Source organism: Homo sapiens, chromosome 15 (genome assembly GCF_000001405.40).
Source record: "Homo sapiens chromosome 15, GRCh38.p14 Primary Assembly".
Lineage (NCBI taxonomy): Eukaryota > Metazoa > Chordata > Mammalia > Primates > Hominidae > Homo > Homo sapiens.
The window spans coordinates 94400813-94420787 of NC_000015.10; the positions used below are offsets into that span (position 1 = coordinate 94400813).

The window sequence follows — 19975 nt, forward strand, 5'->3', positions numbered from 1 at the left end:
AGACGTCTTATCATCCTTTTGTTTCCCATGAACTTCTGGGCATACTTGGGAAAGGCCTTAAACGTCTTCTGAGGGGAAGCCTCCAAATATTTCATTTTGGTCTGCCGTAACATTGAGTGTAATATTTATTTTGTGTAATCTGAGTAAATGTCTTATTTTATTATTGTTATTATTGCCTTTTGCTCTGTTTACTTGAAAGTTAAAACCTGGGTTGAGGTGGGTGGGGTAGCTGCTTTGCAAGCACATTGAAATGAATCTGCCTGCAACTGGGAGAGAGACATTTCCTTTGCAAAACAAGACCTCCACGTGGGGTGGCTTTGGGCTCTCAGAGCACTGGGGAACTTGGGGCTGAAATCCTAGGGTATGCTAGGACCCTCCGCACGTGCCTCTTGCTACTTAGTCCCCCCAAATTTTGATAAACTGGAAACGTTTCCTTAGGATATAAATGCTTGAAAGCACTTACTATGTGACAGGCACTTTTCTAAGCTTTTTCATTCTCTCAACACCTTGTAAGATTAGCACTAATATCAACCCTATTTTGTAAAAGAGAAGTTAAGTAACTTGCCCAAGGTGAACTCCAATCCCTTCCCAGAACTCTGTAGACCTCTGGACTAGATAAGCTATAATACTTGCATGTTTTAATTGTAAATCTATTCATTTGCTTCCAAACTAAACAACATAGACACTCATTCTGTGTCTGTATCTCTCTTTATCTCTCTCTCTCTGTCTTTCTCTTTCTAGTTCTCTCTCTCTCTCTGCCTCTGCATGTGTCTTTCTCACACAAATTCACCAACATTAAATACCTGGCTTCTGCAGTTTCACCAGTTCCATTTTTGTGCTGAACATTGTTGAAACAGGCTATTCTTTTTCAGATGAGCGCTAAAATGCATTTGATTCTCATTTCCTCTATGGATGATCATATTTTAAAAAGACTTTTAGAAGTGTCAGGTCTTCTCCTTTCTATTATTATCATATTTTAAAATTGGGATCTATACAAAATATAATTTAAATGATCAGGGTACCTGATCTAGATGGAATATTTGTAGTATTTAAATCTAGTTTCCTGTTTGTCATTTTTTAAAATCAGATCTTATCAAGAGATGTGGACCGTGTGAAAAGAATCACTATGGCAATATGGAATACAATGCAGTTCCTTAAAAGCTGCTTCCAGTGGGAATCCACATTAAGAAGTACAATAGCATTCGCGGTAAGCTTCCTTTCTTATGTTCAAACTATTTGCTTCTTATTTGCATCTATTCATCTTTCTGAAATATATTACAGCGTAGGTGATTACGTGGGGGTTGTCTTTCTAAGACAGTACTTAGGTCAAATTTACCTGGGAAACCCCTTAAATTACCCAAATCTTAGTCATATATGGTCTCTTGGTAAATTTAAGAGCACTACTGTTGTATATATATGTTTAAATGTTTCTCCAGTTGTTGTTACAGCTACATTTGTATAGCCCTGCATTGTGTGTATTTTTTTTCTTTCTGTGCCAGTGACCGCCCATAATTTCTGAAAAATGGCATCTGAAAAATCACAGGACTAAATAATAACTGAATTGTTCAATTTACATTTTAAGTAAATTATTCCCAAACTTTGATATTAAAGATGTTTATTCATTTCAAGCCAGTTGGGACATACTGATCATTACACATTGCAATTTCATTCAGCACCGCAAAGAGGAACCACCCCTGTCTATGAAATGTACCCTTTTCTCTGGTGACATTGGCCCATCCTTATGAGCATAATAAAATCGCAGAATCAAAGCGCTGCAAGAGATCTTAAAACCACCTAAGTCTACCACTGAGAGCCCAAGAATCTTGGAAGGACTTCACAGCTGGCCTCATGCCTTCACTTTATATCTCAGGGCATTTTCTCTCATTTGTAAAGGGACTTGTCCTTGATCAAATTGGTAATGTCAGCCATGGGAGGAGAAATCAAGTCTCCCGACTGCAAATCTTTGTATATTTGGTATCATGCCATTCATTTCTGTCCTGTGCAAAGATCACTATAAAAACTAATACGAGGTATGAGTGGTCTAAGAGTGTGAATATCAGTCATGATCATTGGTGAATCTGATTTCTGAATGTTATGTGGTTCTGCTTCTGTTTTCTACTGCCAATATATGCTGAATGTTCTCTCTTAGCCAACAGGCATAGCCTCATATAAAAAATGGGGGAAAAAAAACATTTATTAGCCCAAGAAGCCAATGGGTTCAAGGTCACTCCCAACATTTTTATGCCATCAAGTATATCAGCTCCAAAAGAGGCTTTTCCTTTGCCATTGGGGGGTATTTTGTTTGCTGTCGTTTATTTTAGTTCTCCACTGCTTCGGTGTAGAGGACCTATGCTGCCTGTAGGCTTGACCTTTCCTATACTTTTTCTGCTGTCTGAAGTTGCTAAAACATTTGGCCTTAATAAAAACACTAATAAAGGTTTTATTAATCTGTATCCGTCATTGTCTCAGCATTTGTTTATCCACTTCCCTTTCTCACGTTCTCCTCAGCTGGTGGCTTCATGCGTTGAGTTCCCCTTCAACCTCCCCAGCTCCACTTCCCACCCGAATTCCCTTTCAAAACTTTCCATGGAATGTTCTATGCAATTCTGGGCAAAAGAGGAAAGTGAACACAATTGGTGGCTTCTTCCAGTCAGCACCCAGACAGCCACTGTGAGGAGGAGAGGATTTCCTCTTTCTCGAGTTTAGTTTCTGGCACTGTGATTTTAGAAAAACAGAGATCTGTTGCCCTGGATTCTGTAGGGAGATGACAGAAATGATTAATGGGCTGCTGGCTTGATCTGAAGAAAGATTAGAACAGATGAATAGAAATAGGTTGTCTAATAGAGGGGACTTCTAAACAGGAAGGGAGGCTTAGAAATGGAGCCACTTCTCCACGGCCTTTTCTCTGAGGGATTCCTCACTGCTGAGCTTCATGCCTCGGAGCAGAGCCCGCCCCCACGCTGGAGAATGCAGGCTGCCATGTTGTACTCTCAGATCTCTGAGGCCCACAGCAAGGAAGATCAAGGTGGTGTTCTCCTTGCTGGTTTTCCAAAGTATGATTTTGCAAGGATCCATGGGTATATGCGACTGTGTGTATAGGGACATTTCTCATTGGACACCATTGAAAAAAATGCAGAGCCAGTTAGATACGCTATATACCTACAGCCTATCATTTGGTTGTCCTGAAAGTACTGGAATAAAAGTGCTCACTTAAACTCGTTTTCAGTTTTAATTTAAAACTCTACTTCCAAAAATTTAGACCATGTGTATGTTGACTGGCCTTGGTGATTCTCAGAAATACCGCAGCCATAACGTGGTGGATAATTCCCCTCCCTAAGTTGATGAAGTGTAATTTTATTAAAAGTTGTTTTTTTATTCCTATTATGATTATTCCAAAACCATTTCTGCTATTAAAATGAGAGGCTATACAGAAAATGCTTTCTTGAGACAGAATAATAAATGTATTTCAGTTTCATCTCTTATTTTTTATTGTTTTTTTTTTTTTTTGTGACAGAGTCTGACTCTGTCACCCAGGCTGGAGTGCAGAGGCACGATCTTGGCTCACTGCAACCCCTGCCTCCCGGGTTCAAGCGATTCTTCTCCCTCAGCCTCCCAAGTAACTGAGACTACAGGCACGCACCACCATGCCCGGCTAATTTTTGTATTTTTAGTAGAGACGGGGTTTCGTCATATTGGCCAGGCTGGTCTTGAACCTCGACCTTGTGATCCACCCATCTCGGCCTCCCAAAGTGCTAGGATTACAGGCTTGAGCCACCGCACCTGGCCTCCGTTTCATCTTCTTTCATTCTTCTTTTGGTAAGATTATGGGTAGCCAAGCTTTCATGTCCTTTTCTTTGAAAACGCCTTCATTTATGTACCTTGCCTGTAGACCTGTTAGCTGTCTGTAGGGGACTGGATTGGCGGGGCGGGTTGCACACCTAGGGGGCTGCCCTGGCTGTAGTGCTGTGTCCCCGAGTCTGTGGGGCTTCATGATGGGTTGTCTTTCTGCAAAATGTTGGATCCTCAAGCCCAGGCTCTCCTCTGCCTTTCTTCACTATGCAACTGCCATATCTGTCAGGGGTGACACACACTGACGGATGTTCTCCTGTGATCTGTTGACAGAATGCTGCTTGGTGTCTTTATTCGTCATTGTGACACTTTGTTCATGTTCCAACTGCTCGCCTTGGCATGACAGGGCAGAACAGAGGCGCTGTCTGAAGCAAGGTTTTAAGCCAAGGATTTATTAAATGACCCGTAGTCAGGTCCTCTAATTGAAATTAGCGAATGTGATAGTTGAGGGTTTGCTACACAGGTGTGAAAGGAGCTATTTTAGTTGAACCAGTCCCTGGTGGGGCTTTTCTTCTTGTGACAGTACAGGAAGTGATGCTAACACAACAAACTAAGGGCAGAACTGAAGGGATGTGTTTTTCTTCTGTTTTTTGAGAAAACATAAAATATTAACTTTATGTTCTAGACTCTAGCTCCAGGTGATACAAACATGAACATTGCAGAATCATGTTTAATCTATTCTCAATGTCAATTTTAAGACTTTATGAAAGCAAACCATACGTTTTCCATGGATGCCTATGTACATGTGCATGAACATAATCGTATCTTGTTGAAAGCAGCAGTTAAAGAAAAGCAGGCTCTTAAGATCTAGGTCCGCATGGTGTCTCGTCAGAAGTGGATGGACAAACGTGAGAGAACTCACCTTGCTAGATGACCCAAGCATCACCTTCCTCTACCATGCGATTTATCACTGCTACACTTACAGGAGTGGTTGTATTCCCAACATGAGAGAAGAAAGTTATCAGTAATGCACCTGCTATGTTAATGTTGCTGCATAGTGTTGAATTTATTGTTATCATAAGAAATTAAACATGGGCATTTGTAGGGTGGTCAGACCATTCCAAGTCAAGTTTCTATAGACTCAGTTCTTCTTGTTAGGATGAACATTGAAAATCTTTCTCATTTTGTCTTCTGGGTCTTTCTCTTTCCCCTATGTTTTTCAGATATTTTGGTATCTTGCCTTTTCTAAGGTTTACTTAGTTATATTAAATTAAGGATATATTTTTTCTTTTTTCTTCCTTCAGAAAGTAACATTCTTGACTTTCCCATTTGAAAAACAAATTAATATGAGATGTTGACTTAGTGAATGAGGCCAAATAGAACTGAAATATTTTGCCTTGAAGTAAGTGCACCTGTATATTTCCCTATGAATAGATTTGTAAATATATGTGGTATTTTATACACATGTATATACATTTATATACATACACAAGACGTGTACATGGCCATTCCCACACAGATTTTGACTATTTGAACTATTATTCATAGTTCATGTTATTTCAGTGCTTAGACACTGTCCCAAGGATTTTATAAATTTAGTTCTCACAACAACCTGCTGATGTAGGTGGTGATTACTATCTTCTTTTTACAGATGAGAAAAATAAGCCTATAGAGGTCAAGTACAGTGACAGAGCTCATGTGTGTGTATGAGGTAGAGGTGGAATTGAAACCCAGGCCATCTTGCTTTAGTCTGTGCAGGCTTAACCCTTCAGCTATTCTGCCTCTCACTGATGCCCAGGATGCAATGTTTGTTGTCCTTGTATTTACATAGTGACACCGGGACCAACCATACTGATTGTTTCAGATCTGTATTTAGATATTATGTGTGGGGATTAAGCCTGTTCCAAGCTGTGATGCTATACAGGAAAGAAACCCTCATTACATGGGCGAGAATAATTCTTTAGCTCAGTTATTTTATTCACAAGTGATGATGAGACCAAAATTAAAGAAGCCAAACATGGAAATGCCCAGCCCCTGGGCATCACATGCATTTGGCATCCTTGGAATCCAGCTGGATAATTTGAAAAACCCTAGAGCCTTGGTTCTAGACTGAGTCCCAAATTACAGTCTGACTTGTTTTTCCCCACCTTTGAGGAATGCTTTTAGATGATGTAGAGGGATTTTCAAGGGGAGAAGAAAGTAAAAACAGAAAACAACTAGTGGAAGGGATCATGGAAGGCATTGGACTTTTCAGTTGTTTTTTTTTTTTTTTTTTAAGTATTCCAAGTTGTTCAGAAAAGGGATGGGGTAGAAGAGAATAACCACCCCTTATGTTCCTTTAAAATATCTTGAAATAATAGCTATAAAAGAGATAGGCCCATATGTCTAGTGGGGATCTCTATTTTATATACCCAGTGTCTCAGTGCAAATACATTATTTGATCATAATAAAGATAAATTTGTTCTCAAAAGATAACTTTGCATTGTGATATTTATATTGGTAGATCCAATCATGTATGGGTGTTTTGTTATGACATACTTATATTTTATAAACCCCAATGTTGTCTATTAAAAGTCCTAAAGTTATATTATTATATAAATGCATTTTTCATATGTTAAAATATTATTTACTTGACAGATGGCATCATCAGAAGGTGATTTTAAACAGCAAAGTTCTGATGCTTTTAACATAGAATTGCATTTATGCAGTTTCATTTTTCCACCGATATTTCAGGCACACACCTATTGTATCAAGGGAGGCAAGTTTGTGGGGCATTGATGGATTCTTTGCTTTATTAAATTTTTACTTGGATGTTTGATCTAAAAAGTAATCTAAATCTACCATATATCAACGAGTATCTTCATAAAGCTATGATTTTAACATCTGTGACTTTTTTCCGATTTTTTGAGTATAGGGAAATAAAGAATTTACTTTTCAGAGTTGACAAGGACTGAAATATGATACACAAATTAAAGCATCAATCAACCTCTCCCTCAATAAAGTTAAAAAATACAACTGTCCACTCGCTTGGTAATATCCCATATTTAACATATATAGAATTTTTAGCTTTTAGAGATCCTAGAATATTGAGAAAATGTGAAGTAATTTCACATAGAACTTAAAAACAACAGTAGCAGTAATAGAGCCAACCCTTCCAACACACATGTACTTGTGCACACACACACACACACACACACACACACACACACACACACATGCATGAACACGAAGAAGCAGAGGACATTTGGGAAATTAAAAGTTGCTCTGTTGAATGTTTTGTGAAAGCAGTTTAGTAAAAACCAAAGGCAAGGCCTTGAGGACTGCTGTTTTCCATGATTTCTCTGTGGACCGAAAAACATTCAGATTCATTTTGCTTTGGTACAAATGACAAATGCAACACTGTTTTGAGATTCGACTCATTAAATAATGCTGGTCAAATGTCTTTTTGATGCTTTCGATATTTATGTGTTAACTGTGTCTAAAAGATTTACTTTAAGTTCTGTCACCAGTTTACTCACAACGAAATGCACCTGCATTTCATTAAGCTCTTTCATTGGCTATGACATCCACCAGAAGTCACAACTGGATGTGCAGAGCAGACATCGCTGCCCATTTGCTAGGTGTGTGTGCAGTTGATGCTCAAAAATTAAAAGTATTTGTGTAAAGCTGGAAAAAAGAAATTTCAGTTACAATAACCAGAAGAAGAGGGGTTTTAGACATCTTAAAAGTGTGTATATATAAGTGCACACACAGAACCATATACACATATATGCAAAATATATAGGTATATTCAATGCTTAAAATATTTGGCATCTTATGGTTTTAACATATATAAGATAGTTTCCCTAGTCTTCCTTTTCATGAAGGACTACATAATATACTTTCAAAATGTTTTAAAGTTTTTTTCAGCACTTTTTTAAAATAGGAACAATCCATCATTGCATATTGTGAGCATAATTTTTACAACATAATTGCACCTTCTATTGGCAGGTTCTCAGGCATTAACTAATTATGCAATTTAATAAAATTACAGTAATCGCATTAAAAAGATTATCTGTTAAAAATTTAAAAGGACACTATTAACTATTTTAGCATATTTTCATGTTTATATTTTCAATTTTGTGAGTTGTGATTCCAGACAGAATCATAGCTAGATCGACTGAAATCACTTATTCTTTTGGAGCATTCCAATTTTGACTAGTAAACATTAGATCTCAATTATTGTAATCATAGCACAGCCATATTCACATAGCCTGGTAGATGTAAATGGTTAGCTCCCCCTTTTGTGTGTAGGTCCAGGCTCTGCGTGGGACCCTGTGTCACTACCACTGCCTTTTCTGAGCTTTCTGTTGGTGTGCACTTGCAAGCACATATTTTCTGCCTTCTCTGAATTTTCTTTTCAGGATTCTGTGATGGTGAATACTGAATGTCAGCTTGATTGGATTGAAGGATACAAAGTATTGATCCTGGGTGTGTCTGTGAGAGTGTTGCCAAAGGAGATTTGAGTCAGTGGGCTGGGAAAGGCAGACCCACCCTTAATCTGGGTGGGCACCATCTAATCAGCTGCCAGTGCAACTAGAATATAAGCAGGCAGAAAAATGTGAAAACAGAGACTGGCCTGGCCTCCCAGCCTACATCTTTCTCCCATGCTGGTTGCCTCCTGCCCTTGAACATCGGACTCCGAGTTCTTCAGTTGAGGAACTCGGACTGGCTCTCCTTGCTCCTCAGCCTGCAGATGGCCTATTGTGGGACCTTGTGATTGTGTGAGATAATACTTAATAAACTCATATATATTAACCACCAGATGCCAAGCAGAGCTCTACCTCAAGGCTATGATAATACTCAAATATGAATATATATATATTCCTATTCCATTAGTTCCATCTCTCTAGATAACCCTGACTAATACGGATTCCTTGTCTTTTACAGATCCCAAGTAGTGCAGTCTAATTCACTCTGCTTTCCAGAGATACCCTACTGAGCTTGATCCAGATTTTAGGATCTTCAATCTTAAAGAAAAGACTCCAGAGGTCGTGTAGCAACTTAATGCAGCTGATGTTTGACTACCACCTTCTTCAGGCTTGCTCCTTCTCCCGATCCTCCCTCTTTCCTCCTCTCTCTTCCCTCTTCTCCATCCCCTTCCCACAAGCAGTGATGGTTTCGAGTATCTAGTACACTGCTAGATATTGAAATGCAGGAATGAATTTTCATACTGAGCACTCGTAAGTCTATCAACCCTCCTCCCCTATTTTCCACTCACCCTTCCTTTCCCCCTCCCTTTCCCCCTCCCTCCCTCTCTCTCTCTCTCCTTCCTCCTCACCCCATTTATCCCCTCTACTCTGCCTCTCTCCAGAAGCCCTCCTCACCTCCTTAGTTTCCCTACTTTATTCCCCCAAGTTTCTTCTATCATCCTCCCTTATATTTGAAAACAAGCATATCATAAGAAAAAATGTGCTCTTTGGGAATTAAATTAGGTCATAAGCATGGAAATATTTTAAAAACATGGAATGGGTTACAAGTATGGGTAGGAATTACTGCTATCTGATATAACTATTGGTGGGTGATGGTATTCTTCAAATTCAGAGAAAGGCCTCGCTAAAACACACACACACACTCATGTGCTATTTCATTGCAAACTGTTTTTGTGGACCTGGACTTGTTGAGAACCTGTTCAATGACAGGGTGGAAATGCAAAGCTTGGTATTGTGTGCTGTGGTTGGTGTTCAGGAGTCAATCATTTCCAGGGCTACTTAATGTCTATTTAACCACCAGATGCCAAGCAGAGTTCTCCCTCAAGGCTATGATGATACTCTTCATGCTTGACCTAATAAATTCAGTTCATGTCAAAAATAGATGGCTTATGCCTATAGTTCCAGCACTTTCAGAGACAGAGGCGGAGTTTGAGTCCAGCCTGGGCAACAGAGTGAGACCCCGTCTCAAAAAAAGAAAAAAAAAAAGAAGAGGTATTTTATTTCAATGACTTAATACTTCCGGTTAATGTCATGTGTTATATAGTTATGCAGTGTAACACAGCCTCATGATTGAAGGATTGTTTTAGTATATTGCAAGCTGCAGAAAGGCAAAGGCCCAGTCTTTCATCTTTGTGCATATCCTTACTGCTTAGGATAATGTTGGGTACACAGTAGGCATCTAATCAATGCTTCTTGGAAGGGTGCTAGAACTAGTGAAAATCATCTGTTACCAGATGTTGCTTTCTTTTTATTCGTACACCTCCGTTGATCATAATAGCCTGTGGCCGCATCAGTAGCTAAAATCCAAAAACAACCTGGCAGCTTCATCATATTCTTGTCTGTTATGCATTTTTCTGGCTTTTTCTTGATCCTGCCCATCCAGGAATTGTGCTAACTAGTAGCAAAATGGCCAAAAGGCAGCCAGGAGGAGGAAGAGAGCTGGAAAATCTCTAACTGCCATCACAGCCCCTGAATCTGAGAAGATTCTATTTTTGATATTTTCAGAACTGAATGCCTTTTCTCCCCTTTCATTTGTTTCTGTATGTGACACCTGGATGTGCAAACATTTTGTGTGATGCAAAAACAGAAAAGAATATTTAGAAATAGGGGGACCTGGTGTGTGTGAAAACAGTTATAACCAATTCCTTATGTAGGTTTTGACCTGTTGAAGAACATGCTCAGCACTTAGATATCTGGCTAATTTGATATTGCTTTTTTTTTTTTTTTCTTTTTTTGCAGTCTGAGCTTTGTCATTTGTTTCTAAGCTGTCATTTTTATTAGTCTCTCTGGCTGATCTTTTGGGGCTCCCCATCAGGTGGCATGTGCTCGCCATTGTCTGGCTGTGCTTGGCAAGCGGAGGGCCCTTTTATTGCTGTGTGATGTGGGCGTGCTTGCTGGGGTAGCCTGTAATTAGACCCACCACAGGTGACAGTTACTAGAGAGCCCAGTAATCGTTCTAGCTGCCTGATCTGATGTTTATGGAGAGAAGCCTTCTTTGTGGTCTGGTCAGGGTTTACTACAGCGTGTTGTACTTTTGCCATTTGATTTATGATTTAGAAAGGTGTGTTTTGTTACTGCTCCCTTTATCTAGGGGTTGTGTCATTGGCTTTTTAAATAACAGATGTGTTTTAGAGGGAGATTTTTATTATAAAGCCTGATCATCCCCATCTCACGTATACAAAAAAAAAGATTTTGATATTTAATCAAAATCAGGTTCAATATGTAATCATCTAAGCCTTGCTCTTGCACAGTGTTTACTGACTGTTCTAGTCTCCCTGGGATTCTCTTATTACCTAAATCCATATTGGTTTTGGCCTTTTAAAATGACTTTTCTATTGCTTCCCAAGCTCTTTAAAATTTCTGTTTTAATTCATTGTCTGGGATGCTTCATTTTGTCAAGGAAAAAACCCAAAACAAAACAGAAATATACTTGTGGGCCCCATTGGTGTTAGGCAAGACCCAACAGCTGTTGTTTTTAATATAGGAAAGATGGAGCCACAGAATGAGGTAGGAGGGGCTTTCATGGTCAGTCTGAGGGGAAGAAGAAAGCTGCAGGCTTCAGAAAGTGATTTTCCCAAGGCCTCCTCATTTGTTTGAATAGAGGATTCTCAGTCCTACACTACTTTTACAATGCACGGCTTGTATAGTCATAAACTTTGAAATTACGGTTTTAGTTCTTGAGTACAAACTGCATATACACAGGATCCTTGGACTCTGCTTTTTTTTTTTTTAGGTACATTTTCCCTCAGGTCTTACATTTGAGTAAAAATAGTTTGTGAGTCTGTGGAGTTGCTATTCAGAGTGGTAACATGCCGTAGGGAGATGTAAATCTGTATTGCTACCTCGTGCTCACTTGACTGACTCTTCCGTTGGAACAGGTGAATTTTCCTCATCAAAATGTTGTGTCCATGGTGATGAGAGTAATGAAGATGATAACGATGATCACAATGATGACAAGGATGATGATGATGATGAACGGTGTTTTTGTGTTTGGGAGGTGTTTAAGTTTTGACTTCTGCTCTAAAACCTTGCTCTTTATTAGGCTTTAGCGATGCTGTTAGTGAAGCCTTGTCTTACATTGTCTTCTCTTTAAGGAATAGAGTATTGCTTCTTCAGCTAAGTATGCCTTTGTTAATAGCCACATTTCTTCTGCTCTGGGTTAAGCTAGGTACATGCAATTATAAACATTTTGTGTCCCATAGCAAGAGCAGTTTTCCTTGGAAATCACCGAGACCCTCAATTTTTTTTGCAAGGAAACTTTTATAGGCTAATTCATTACCCCCATCCCCAAATTCTACTTTTCACAATAGGAAAATGCATAGTGTGTTTAGCTGTGAAAAAAAATTAGCCGACTGTGGCCTCATTAACTGCACCTCTTTCGGCAAATTTGATTTTGCATTTCATTGGCGATTTTTACATTTTTGATAATCTACATGTTTTCAAAAAATTGATTTCCTGGAAATTTAATCAAAAACAGGGTTGGGGAATAAGAGGAGGGAGAGAAAAAAGGAAAAGGAAAGAAAAATAACAAATAGCTTGGCAATCGCTTGAGTTTACTTAAAGATAGTCCTGCAGGTGGCGATAGAAACTCATAAATGATAAAATCCTAAGGTAAATTTCTGTGGGCTACTTCTTGGGGATTTTAATTTCAGCAATTTATTTTTAATTTGATACAATCGTCTATAAGCAGAAATTATTACATTAGTAAAAAAAATTCAAATTTTCATGTTGTGTACTTTTCTGTTTTTATAATAATTTTCTTGAATATTCTGTAGCACATTCTTCCTTATGCAGAAGAAATAAGATCCAGATTACTGCCCAGTTGGTACAGATTTCATTAGGAAAATAACCATTTTAAGGCTTCTTTTTTTTTTAATTTCATTTTTACGTTCTTTAACCTGCAGCTAAAATTTGATGCTTATGTCATTGGCTAGGTTTCACTTCTATAAAGGCCTTTGCTCTTGGGTGTGACATGGCTTGCTTAGGCATGACGCTGAGTGTGTGTGTGTGTGTGTGTGTGTTCACAGAGACATTCCTTCATATCATAGTATCAAATCTAGTTGCTTCCAGAGGCCATTTCCTCCCTTAGTTAGGTGTTTCAAGTTAGTTTTAATGTGACTAGGATCACAAATTTCTTGAAAGCTATTTTATCTAGGGATAAAAACAAAACATAAATATGTATATTTTTAACATTAGACAATACATAGTGAATATGATAACATTTTTTCAATTCTTTTAGTTATTTTGGGCATGAGGCATTGTCAAAGCAAAGTGAAAGCATTTGGAAGACAGGAGATCTTTCTTTTCTGCTAGTTAAGGTTCAAGAGTTTTTAAATTGCTTTTTGTGACTATATATATTCATTTATGGTTTTTTAAGTTTGAATCTGAAAATGCAAACTCTAAAGGATAAAACTAATTTTCAACTTTCCTATTTTCTTGTAGTCTCATTTAGAAAACCTTTGCAGTGTACATTTTCAAGGTGGAGCTGCCTTGATTCTAAGAAAATGTAATTATTTTGGTTTAAACACTTTAGGCTTTAGATGTTGAGTGTCATCAACAGATAACTGTGATGGTCTTGAGCAAATTATGTGAATTGCAGTCTCTGCCTTTCTTCTGAACATTTCCCTAAGTCTTATGGTAAAGTTCAAACCAGTAATGTCTTATATGCTGTACCCTTGGATCCAGAATTTTTTTTATGATATAATAGAAGAGGCAGAAAAAGAAAGAAAAGAAACCTCTGGCCTTCTTATATTCTGTTTCAATTGTTCTTCCAATTACTCATGAGGGAGAGGAGTGGAATGCAAGTCAGACACTCTGAAAACCTATTTTGCAGCCTTCATATAAAAAATATTCAGTTCTCTGCTCTGTTAGCAGCTGACCAAAATCTAATCCGTTAAAAAATACATCGTGGTAAGCAGTTCTTGAAAATGTTTATAATAAATGGTAAAAGCCAAGCTTCCACTGTGAGATTAGCAGTTGGAACAGGACGTGTTCATCAGGAAATAGGTTATTGCCTGACTAGTGTGTCCTGCAGAGTAACCTGCAGGATAGATGAAGATTTAAAAGCTTGCAGTGCAAGGATTTTATTTGATTTTCCCCCTTTGCTTTCTTTTGCATATTCCAGTGTTGTTTATCACTCATGGTATTTTTCCCAATGACTCTCTTATGAAGTTCATTTTACAAACAAAAAGTGTGGCATGTTTTGGGGGTTGGTTCCATTCACGCCCCATGATCATCTAATGACCTATGGGTATTAATGTTGCTAATACACTTTTTTACATTACAGACTTCGTAGCTTAAAGATAAATGTGAAAGAATATTTTCCAGAGATCTGGACCTACCACCAGCTTCCATCTTAAAGATACAGGAAGTGCTGCAGAGAATTATGGTGTCTTTCCTGCTTTTTGCTTGACTGCAGTCCAGCCTGAGAGTCAGTGGACAGTAGTGCTCATGAATAATGCCTTCTATGTGGATGATACCTACAGTAACACAGGAGTGACTAAGAGATCAAATACACTGGCTAAAAAGCCTTAGGGAAGCATTATGTGTCTGAGGTCTGATCTATTGTCTGGGAGGTCGCAGAGTGTTAATGCACTCTGCAAAGATTACACTCCCTCTCTAATTGCTCAGACACTTCCTTAAAGGATTTAAACAGTCAGGAAAGGTGACGCTCCTTGTCAATTTTTGTCTTCTGCCTGCAGTTGAAGTTTATCTGTCTTTCCACTGAGACCACTAGATCAAGTAACCTAGACGGTGTCAAAGGCATAAACTCTGAATTAGGAGTGAAAGCAATAAGAGATGTTATTTACCGTACCGTTGTTACTTGCTCTTTAAATGCTCTGCATTCCATTTCTGGTGTTTACATAGTGAAAACGACAGCATCTCTGTGTTCCAAAGCGGGGCTTAAAAGGGTCCAAGGCTTCACTTTGACTTTTGATCAAATTTGTTTTCATAATCCTTTCGCAGTGCCATAACACCCCGTGCAGCATTCTCCTTTTAGGTTATTATTTCAGCTAAATATGTAGAAAATAGGTGAACTTTAGGATTCCCTCGGTGCGTCCCCCCAACCTCACCCCTCCCAACACACCCCCATTCTGAGATGTTTCCCCTGAATTAGGCATATGCAAGACCAACCCACATTTAGGACGTGATAACTTTGTCCAGACCATCATTGTAAACTTCAAATGATACACAGACACATTTGAAAAAAGATCTCCTCTCTGCATTGGAGAATCCTAACTCAATCTTGTGTGTCTGGAGAGCTGATATAGCAATTTTATCAGACTCTGTATCTCTTATATTGCTTTGATTATAACTCAGTGTTTCCTAAATGACACTGAAAAGCTTAAAGAAAGGTTTTACTAGTTCTTTCCCAATGGCAGTTTAGGAAATATCGGGGAGCTGTCTGTTTGTGAAGAGCATAATGAACTCCTTAAATTCATAGTCTGTGTTGCTGCTGTAGGAAGGAGTGGGGAGTGCAAGCTTGCATTCCACCTCGAGCATTTTCTACCCACTATGCACAGTTGCATCATTGAGAAGTAAGCATTCCTCTTAGATCAGTTCAAATTGCTAATATATGTGTCCTACAGCCTGCAATATAATATTTACGTAGCTTCCGAAAGAGACCTGCAAGGATTCCCTGTAATTCAAGATGGTAGTCTGACTGATGGGTGTAGAAGGATTTTTTTTTTTGTTTTAAAGAAATTCTTGTTTGTCCCATGAGATTTTCACACTTTTCGGCTGACGGCACTGTATTTTACTCATCCTGTATAAAGCTGTCAGTGTATTCATTATATGTGTGTCTTGAAGACTCTGAGCAGATGACGGGAACAATTGCTGGAGGGGGAAAACACATTTGAATCAAAATCTTCAGAAGAGCATTTCTGTAGTCTCTCCTGTTCCTGCTTCTGCGTGGACTGTCCCTCGCACTTTCTCTGATTGCATGTTATCTCACACTGTTGGTAGATTACACTGAATGTTTCATCTGTATATAAAAATTAAAAATTCAAACAAAAATCTGGCCCACATGAAGAACAGGCCCTTTGGGCATATGGTTCATTATGCATATTCGTTTAATTACTAAAACACTTGCGATGGCTTTAGTGCCCTTGCTTTCAACTTGCAAAGTTGGATCTCTTCTATTGCACAGAAAATATAGTGCAGAATTCTGTTATGAAGGAGGAAAAAAGAAAAGAAAAAAATAGAGCCTTTGAAGAAATTATTGGAATTCACCAAAAGGAGGTATGATTGTCAGTATGAAATAAATGGGAAAAGGGATTTCTCCCCTTCCTCGTCTTTGTCATCTCCTTCTCCCTCCCATTTCTACCACTACCCCGAAGGCTGTTTTTACTGTGGTTAGTTTATAAGTAATGTGAGACTAAGGATTTAGGTTTCAAACATGTTCCCTCTGAGCGCCTCAAGTCTCATGATGAAGCAAAGTTTTATTGTTTAGAAGGGGGCTGCTATGAAAGTGTGACTTTAATTGATTTTTCAGGGCAAACAGGTGGTGATGGTTTAGACATCTCCTGGCCTGAGTGCCACTCCTAATTTGGGTCTACACATATAATAGCTTTATTAAAATAAACAATCCCTTGGCTTTGGTTTTACCTGAACATCTGCCTCCTGGTTTTTAGAGGGCTTTTAAAAATATTTTCACTGTGTGCTTAACAGGATCTGATCCTAACATAGCTAAGAAAGACTTTATTTTCTATTTATGCCATCAAATTTTTTATTTTTATCTGATGTTAAAGACACTAAAATTTAGAAGCATCTTTAAATGGGATAATCAGTGCTTCAGTAGTTTTCTTTAGAGCACCTTCATTTACAGGATGCAACAGATTTTGAATGTAACAGGTCAAAAATTGAATTTGTAGTTGCTGGGTTTTGATTTGAACTTTTATTTTGGTGCACAAAAGATTGTTTGAGTGAGTACACGTACGTGTGTGTGTGCGCACATGTTTTAAGACCATATTTTGGATTTATTCCTGAGCGCTGGTGATGTTTCAGCATTGTAAGAAAGCTTCTTGGACTCCTCTTGATCAGAATAAATTCAAGACTCCTAACAGCATTTCTAAGGGAAAGGAGGATCCAAGCCTTGGCATCGTTCTTGTTTTTAGTGGCAAGTATGTGTGGCTCTGATACAAGCACAATTTTGCTTTTCAATTAAGCAAATAGGTAGTCTATCTGAGTAACGGGAGACCATCCAAGACATTCTTGATATGATTCCTAAAGGAATTGTACTTTGCTATAAATAGCATCACTCACTAATCACTATTGGAGGGTTCCTGAATTCGGGTACCTTAGTCGGTTTTAAACACATTGAATATGTACAGAGCTATTGCAGGCTTAATGTGAACTTACTGCAAGCCTGCTTCTTTTAGTGCCAGAAATAAAGCTGCAAGTGGAGTAACTTAATACAGCGAACTGCTTTACTCTATCACTGCACTAATGCTAATTAGATACACTTGCTTTATTACCCAGAGCATTTTTTTCTGTGTTCGTTCTGATCTAATCTTTCTATGAACATAAAGGAGTAAGTCATGAAGGAGTAAGTCGTAAGTGTTATGTTTAAGCTTTTAGTCACAATTGCAGCCTAATGTTCATGTGAGCAAAGTCAGAGAACACTCTTAGAGAATGCTTTGTCCACTTACAGTCCAATTAGAATCCCATTGGACTTCTCCCATGGAGGGCCCCACAGTGCCAAAAATTACGCTTCTGAAATGAGTAAGACACTTATCGATACATTTAATGGAATTTTGTTCTTGACCTCTTCATCTACCTACCTTTATGGAGAATAAATAAATGTGTGAAGATTTTTTCTCCCTTCCTTTAATCAGAGCAGAGAATTTGCTGATGGCTTTGAAAGATGTATTTACCAAAATCAGACTTTCAACTGCTCAATTACCACCTTCTGCAAAGACGTATAATGAGAAATTTATTGTCTGATTCTAGACCTGAAATTATGATCATTCTAGGGGGAAAAAGCCAATAGTGCAGCACATTAGATGCTTTTTCTCTTTCATTTAGTTCAGTGCTTTTCTACTTTTTAAACTACTTTTTCTGCCTTTATGAGCGGTGTGGGGATTTTTATTGGGGCATAGGTGATTGTTTGACTTTTCCATTTATATGAAATCATCACAAAATGTAGAATATAGTGTGGCCAGTAGCATGATGTAAACATTAAAGGGATGGAATTTTAATAAATGCTTCACATTTAAGAGAATAAAAACTAATAAGAAGTGAATGTATGATACAGGTTAGAAGCCTTCTTTTCCCCCTGTTTAAAAATGTCCATTAATGTATTCTAAAGAGGAAAATAAAAGTCAACAAAAACTTCATGTCTAGAGCAACGGAGTCTAAAAGCCTCTAATTTATATTTAATATTAAGATAATACATTTTATATGTACTTTCTTTAAAGTTAGAATGGATCAGCCATATTCTTCATAGAAATGTTCAGTATAGTTATACTGTGAAACTGACAGTTTGAAAATGATATGCATTGTTTATTTAAATAGTCATAGAGGATAATAAAAGCGAGAAACATATAATCGAGATGTCTGCCTACAAAAGCACTGGGAATAAATGGCCAGATGGGGTTATACCCACACCAAACTGGAACTACTGGATGGAAATGTGTCTTTAAGAGCCAGACACCAAGTCTGATATTCCCCTAATTAACTGACCAGGTCACTTTATGACACATAGAATTAGTCAAAGACAATGTCAAGTAAACACCAGAAATAGTACATTTCACTGCTCATGGATCTTAAGAAAACAAATGGTTAAAGAATTTTGATTTGGTAACCTTTCTTTATATTATGGTACCGAGAGCATGACTTAGAGGTATAAGTGGAAATATGAAGGTTTTATTAGAGGGCAGGGAAGGAAAGGGAGAGTCAGGGCAGGAAAGGACATTTTGATTCTGGAGCTTCATGAAGCTGAGATTTGCCAAGGCCATTCTTCCATTATTGGTGTCTCTTTCCCTTTCTCTAAATAGGACCTTGACTGGGAAGAACATGCCACCTCCTACACCCACTGATTTCTTCCGAAAGTGTAGAATTAGTTTTCTGGTCAGTCTAAATAGCCTTTCATAGTTGCCCTATGTATCTTCACCTCTTTTACATTATATAGGCAGGCATCCTTTTATCAGGCTTCACTTTATTGCACTTTGCACATACTGCTTATTTTTTTTTTTTTTACAAATCGAAAATTTGTGCAAACCTGCATCTAACAAGTTTATTGGCACCATTTCTACAAAAAAGCAAGTTATCCAGAAGTTCTAGCTGAGATAATTGATAAAGGTGGCTACACTAAACAACAGATTTTCAATGTAGAAGAAACAGTCTTCTGTTGGAAGAAGATGCCATCTAGGACTTCCATAGCTACAGAAAATGCTTTACTTTAAAGCTTCAAAGGACAGGCTGACTCTCTTGTTAGGGGTTAATGCAGCTGGTAACCTTAAATTGAAGCCAGTACTCATTTAGCATTTTAGAAATCCTAGGGCCCTTAAGAATTCTGCTAAATGTACTCTGCCTGTGCTCTATAAATGGAACAACAAAGCTTGGATGAGAGCACATCTGTTTGCAGCATCATTTACTGAATATTTTAAACCCACTGTTGAGATCTACTTCTCAGAAAAAAATGATTTTTTTCAAAATATCACTGCTCATCGAACATGTACCTAGCTGCTCAAGAGCTGTGATGGAGATATACAATGAGATTAATGTTGTTTTCATGCCTGCTAACATAACATCCATTCTGTAGCTGATGGATCAAGGACTAATTTCAACTTTCAGGTCTTATTAAAGAAATATATTTTGTAAAATGATAGCCGTCATTGATTGTGAATTTTTCTGATGGATCTGGACAAAATAAGAACCTTCTTGAAAGGATTCACCATTCTAGATGCCATTAAGAACATTTGTGATTCATGGGAGGAGGTTAAAATATCAACATTAACACGAGTTTAGAAGGAGTCGATTGCAGCCTTCACAGATGACTTGGAAGGGTGGAGTGGAAGAAGTAAGTTTAGATGTGGCAGAAATAGCAAGAATAGAATTAGAAGTAGAGCCTGAAAATGTGACTGAATTGCTATAATCTCATGATGAAACTTGAACATATGAAGTTTCTTCTTGTGGATGAGTCAGGAAAGTGGATTCTAGAGATGGAATCTACTCCTGGTGAAGATGCTATGAACATTGTTGAAATAACAAAT

General features: G+C 38.1%; 1 protein-coding gene across 28 annotated transcripts in view; it reads left to right on the forward strand.

The window, feature by feature from the left end:
- Positions 1–19975, forward strand: part of MCTP2 (multiple C2 and transmembrane domain containing 2) — a 252587-nt gene that overhangs the window by 169447 nt on the left and 63165 nt on the right. For 22 of the 28 annotated variants that reach the window (NR_169532.1, NR_169530.1, NR_169529.1 and 19 more), the window contains one exon: positions 1088–1207. Coding sequence is in view for 21 of the 28 variants with exons in the window: in XM_047432839.1 (XP_047288795.1) it covers positions 1088–1207 (120 nt within the window). In the remaining 7 variants the exon portion in view is untranslated. Of the gene's footprint in view, positions 1–1087; positions 1208–1499; positions 2454–19975 lie in introns of those variants that run through there. The other 6 variants (XM_047432842.1, XM_047432843.1, NM_001385008.1 and 3 more) reach the window with 4 other exon arrangements.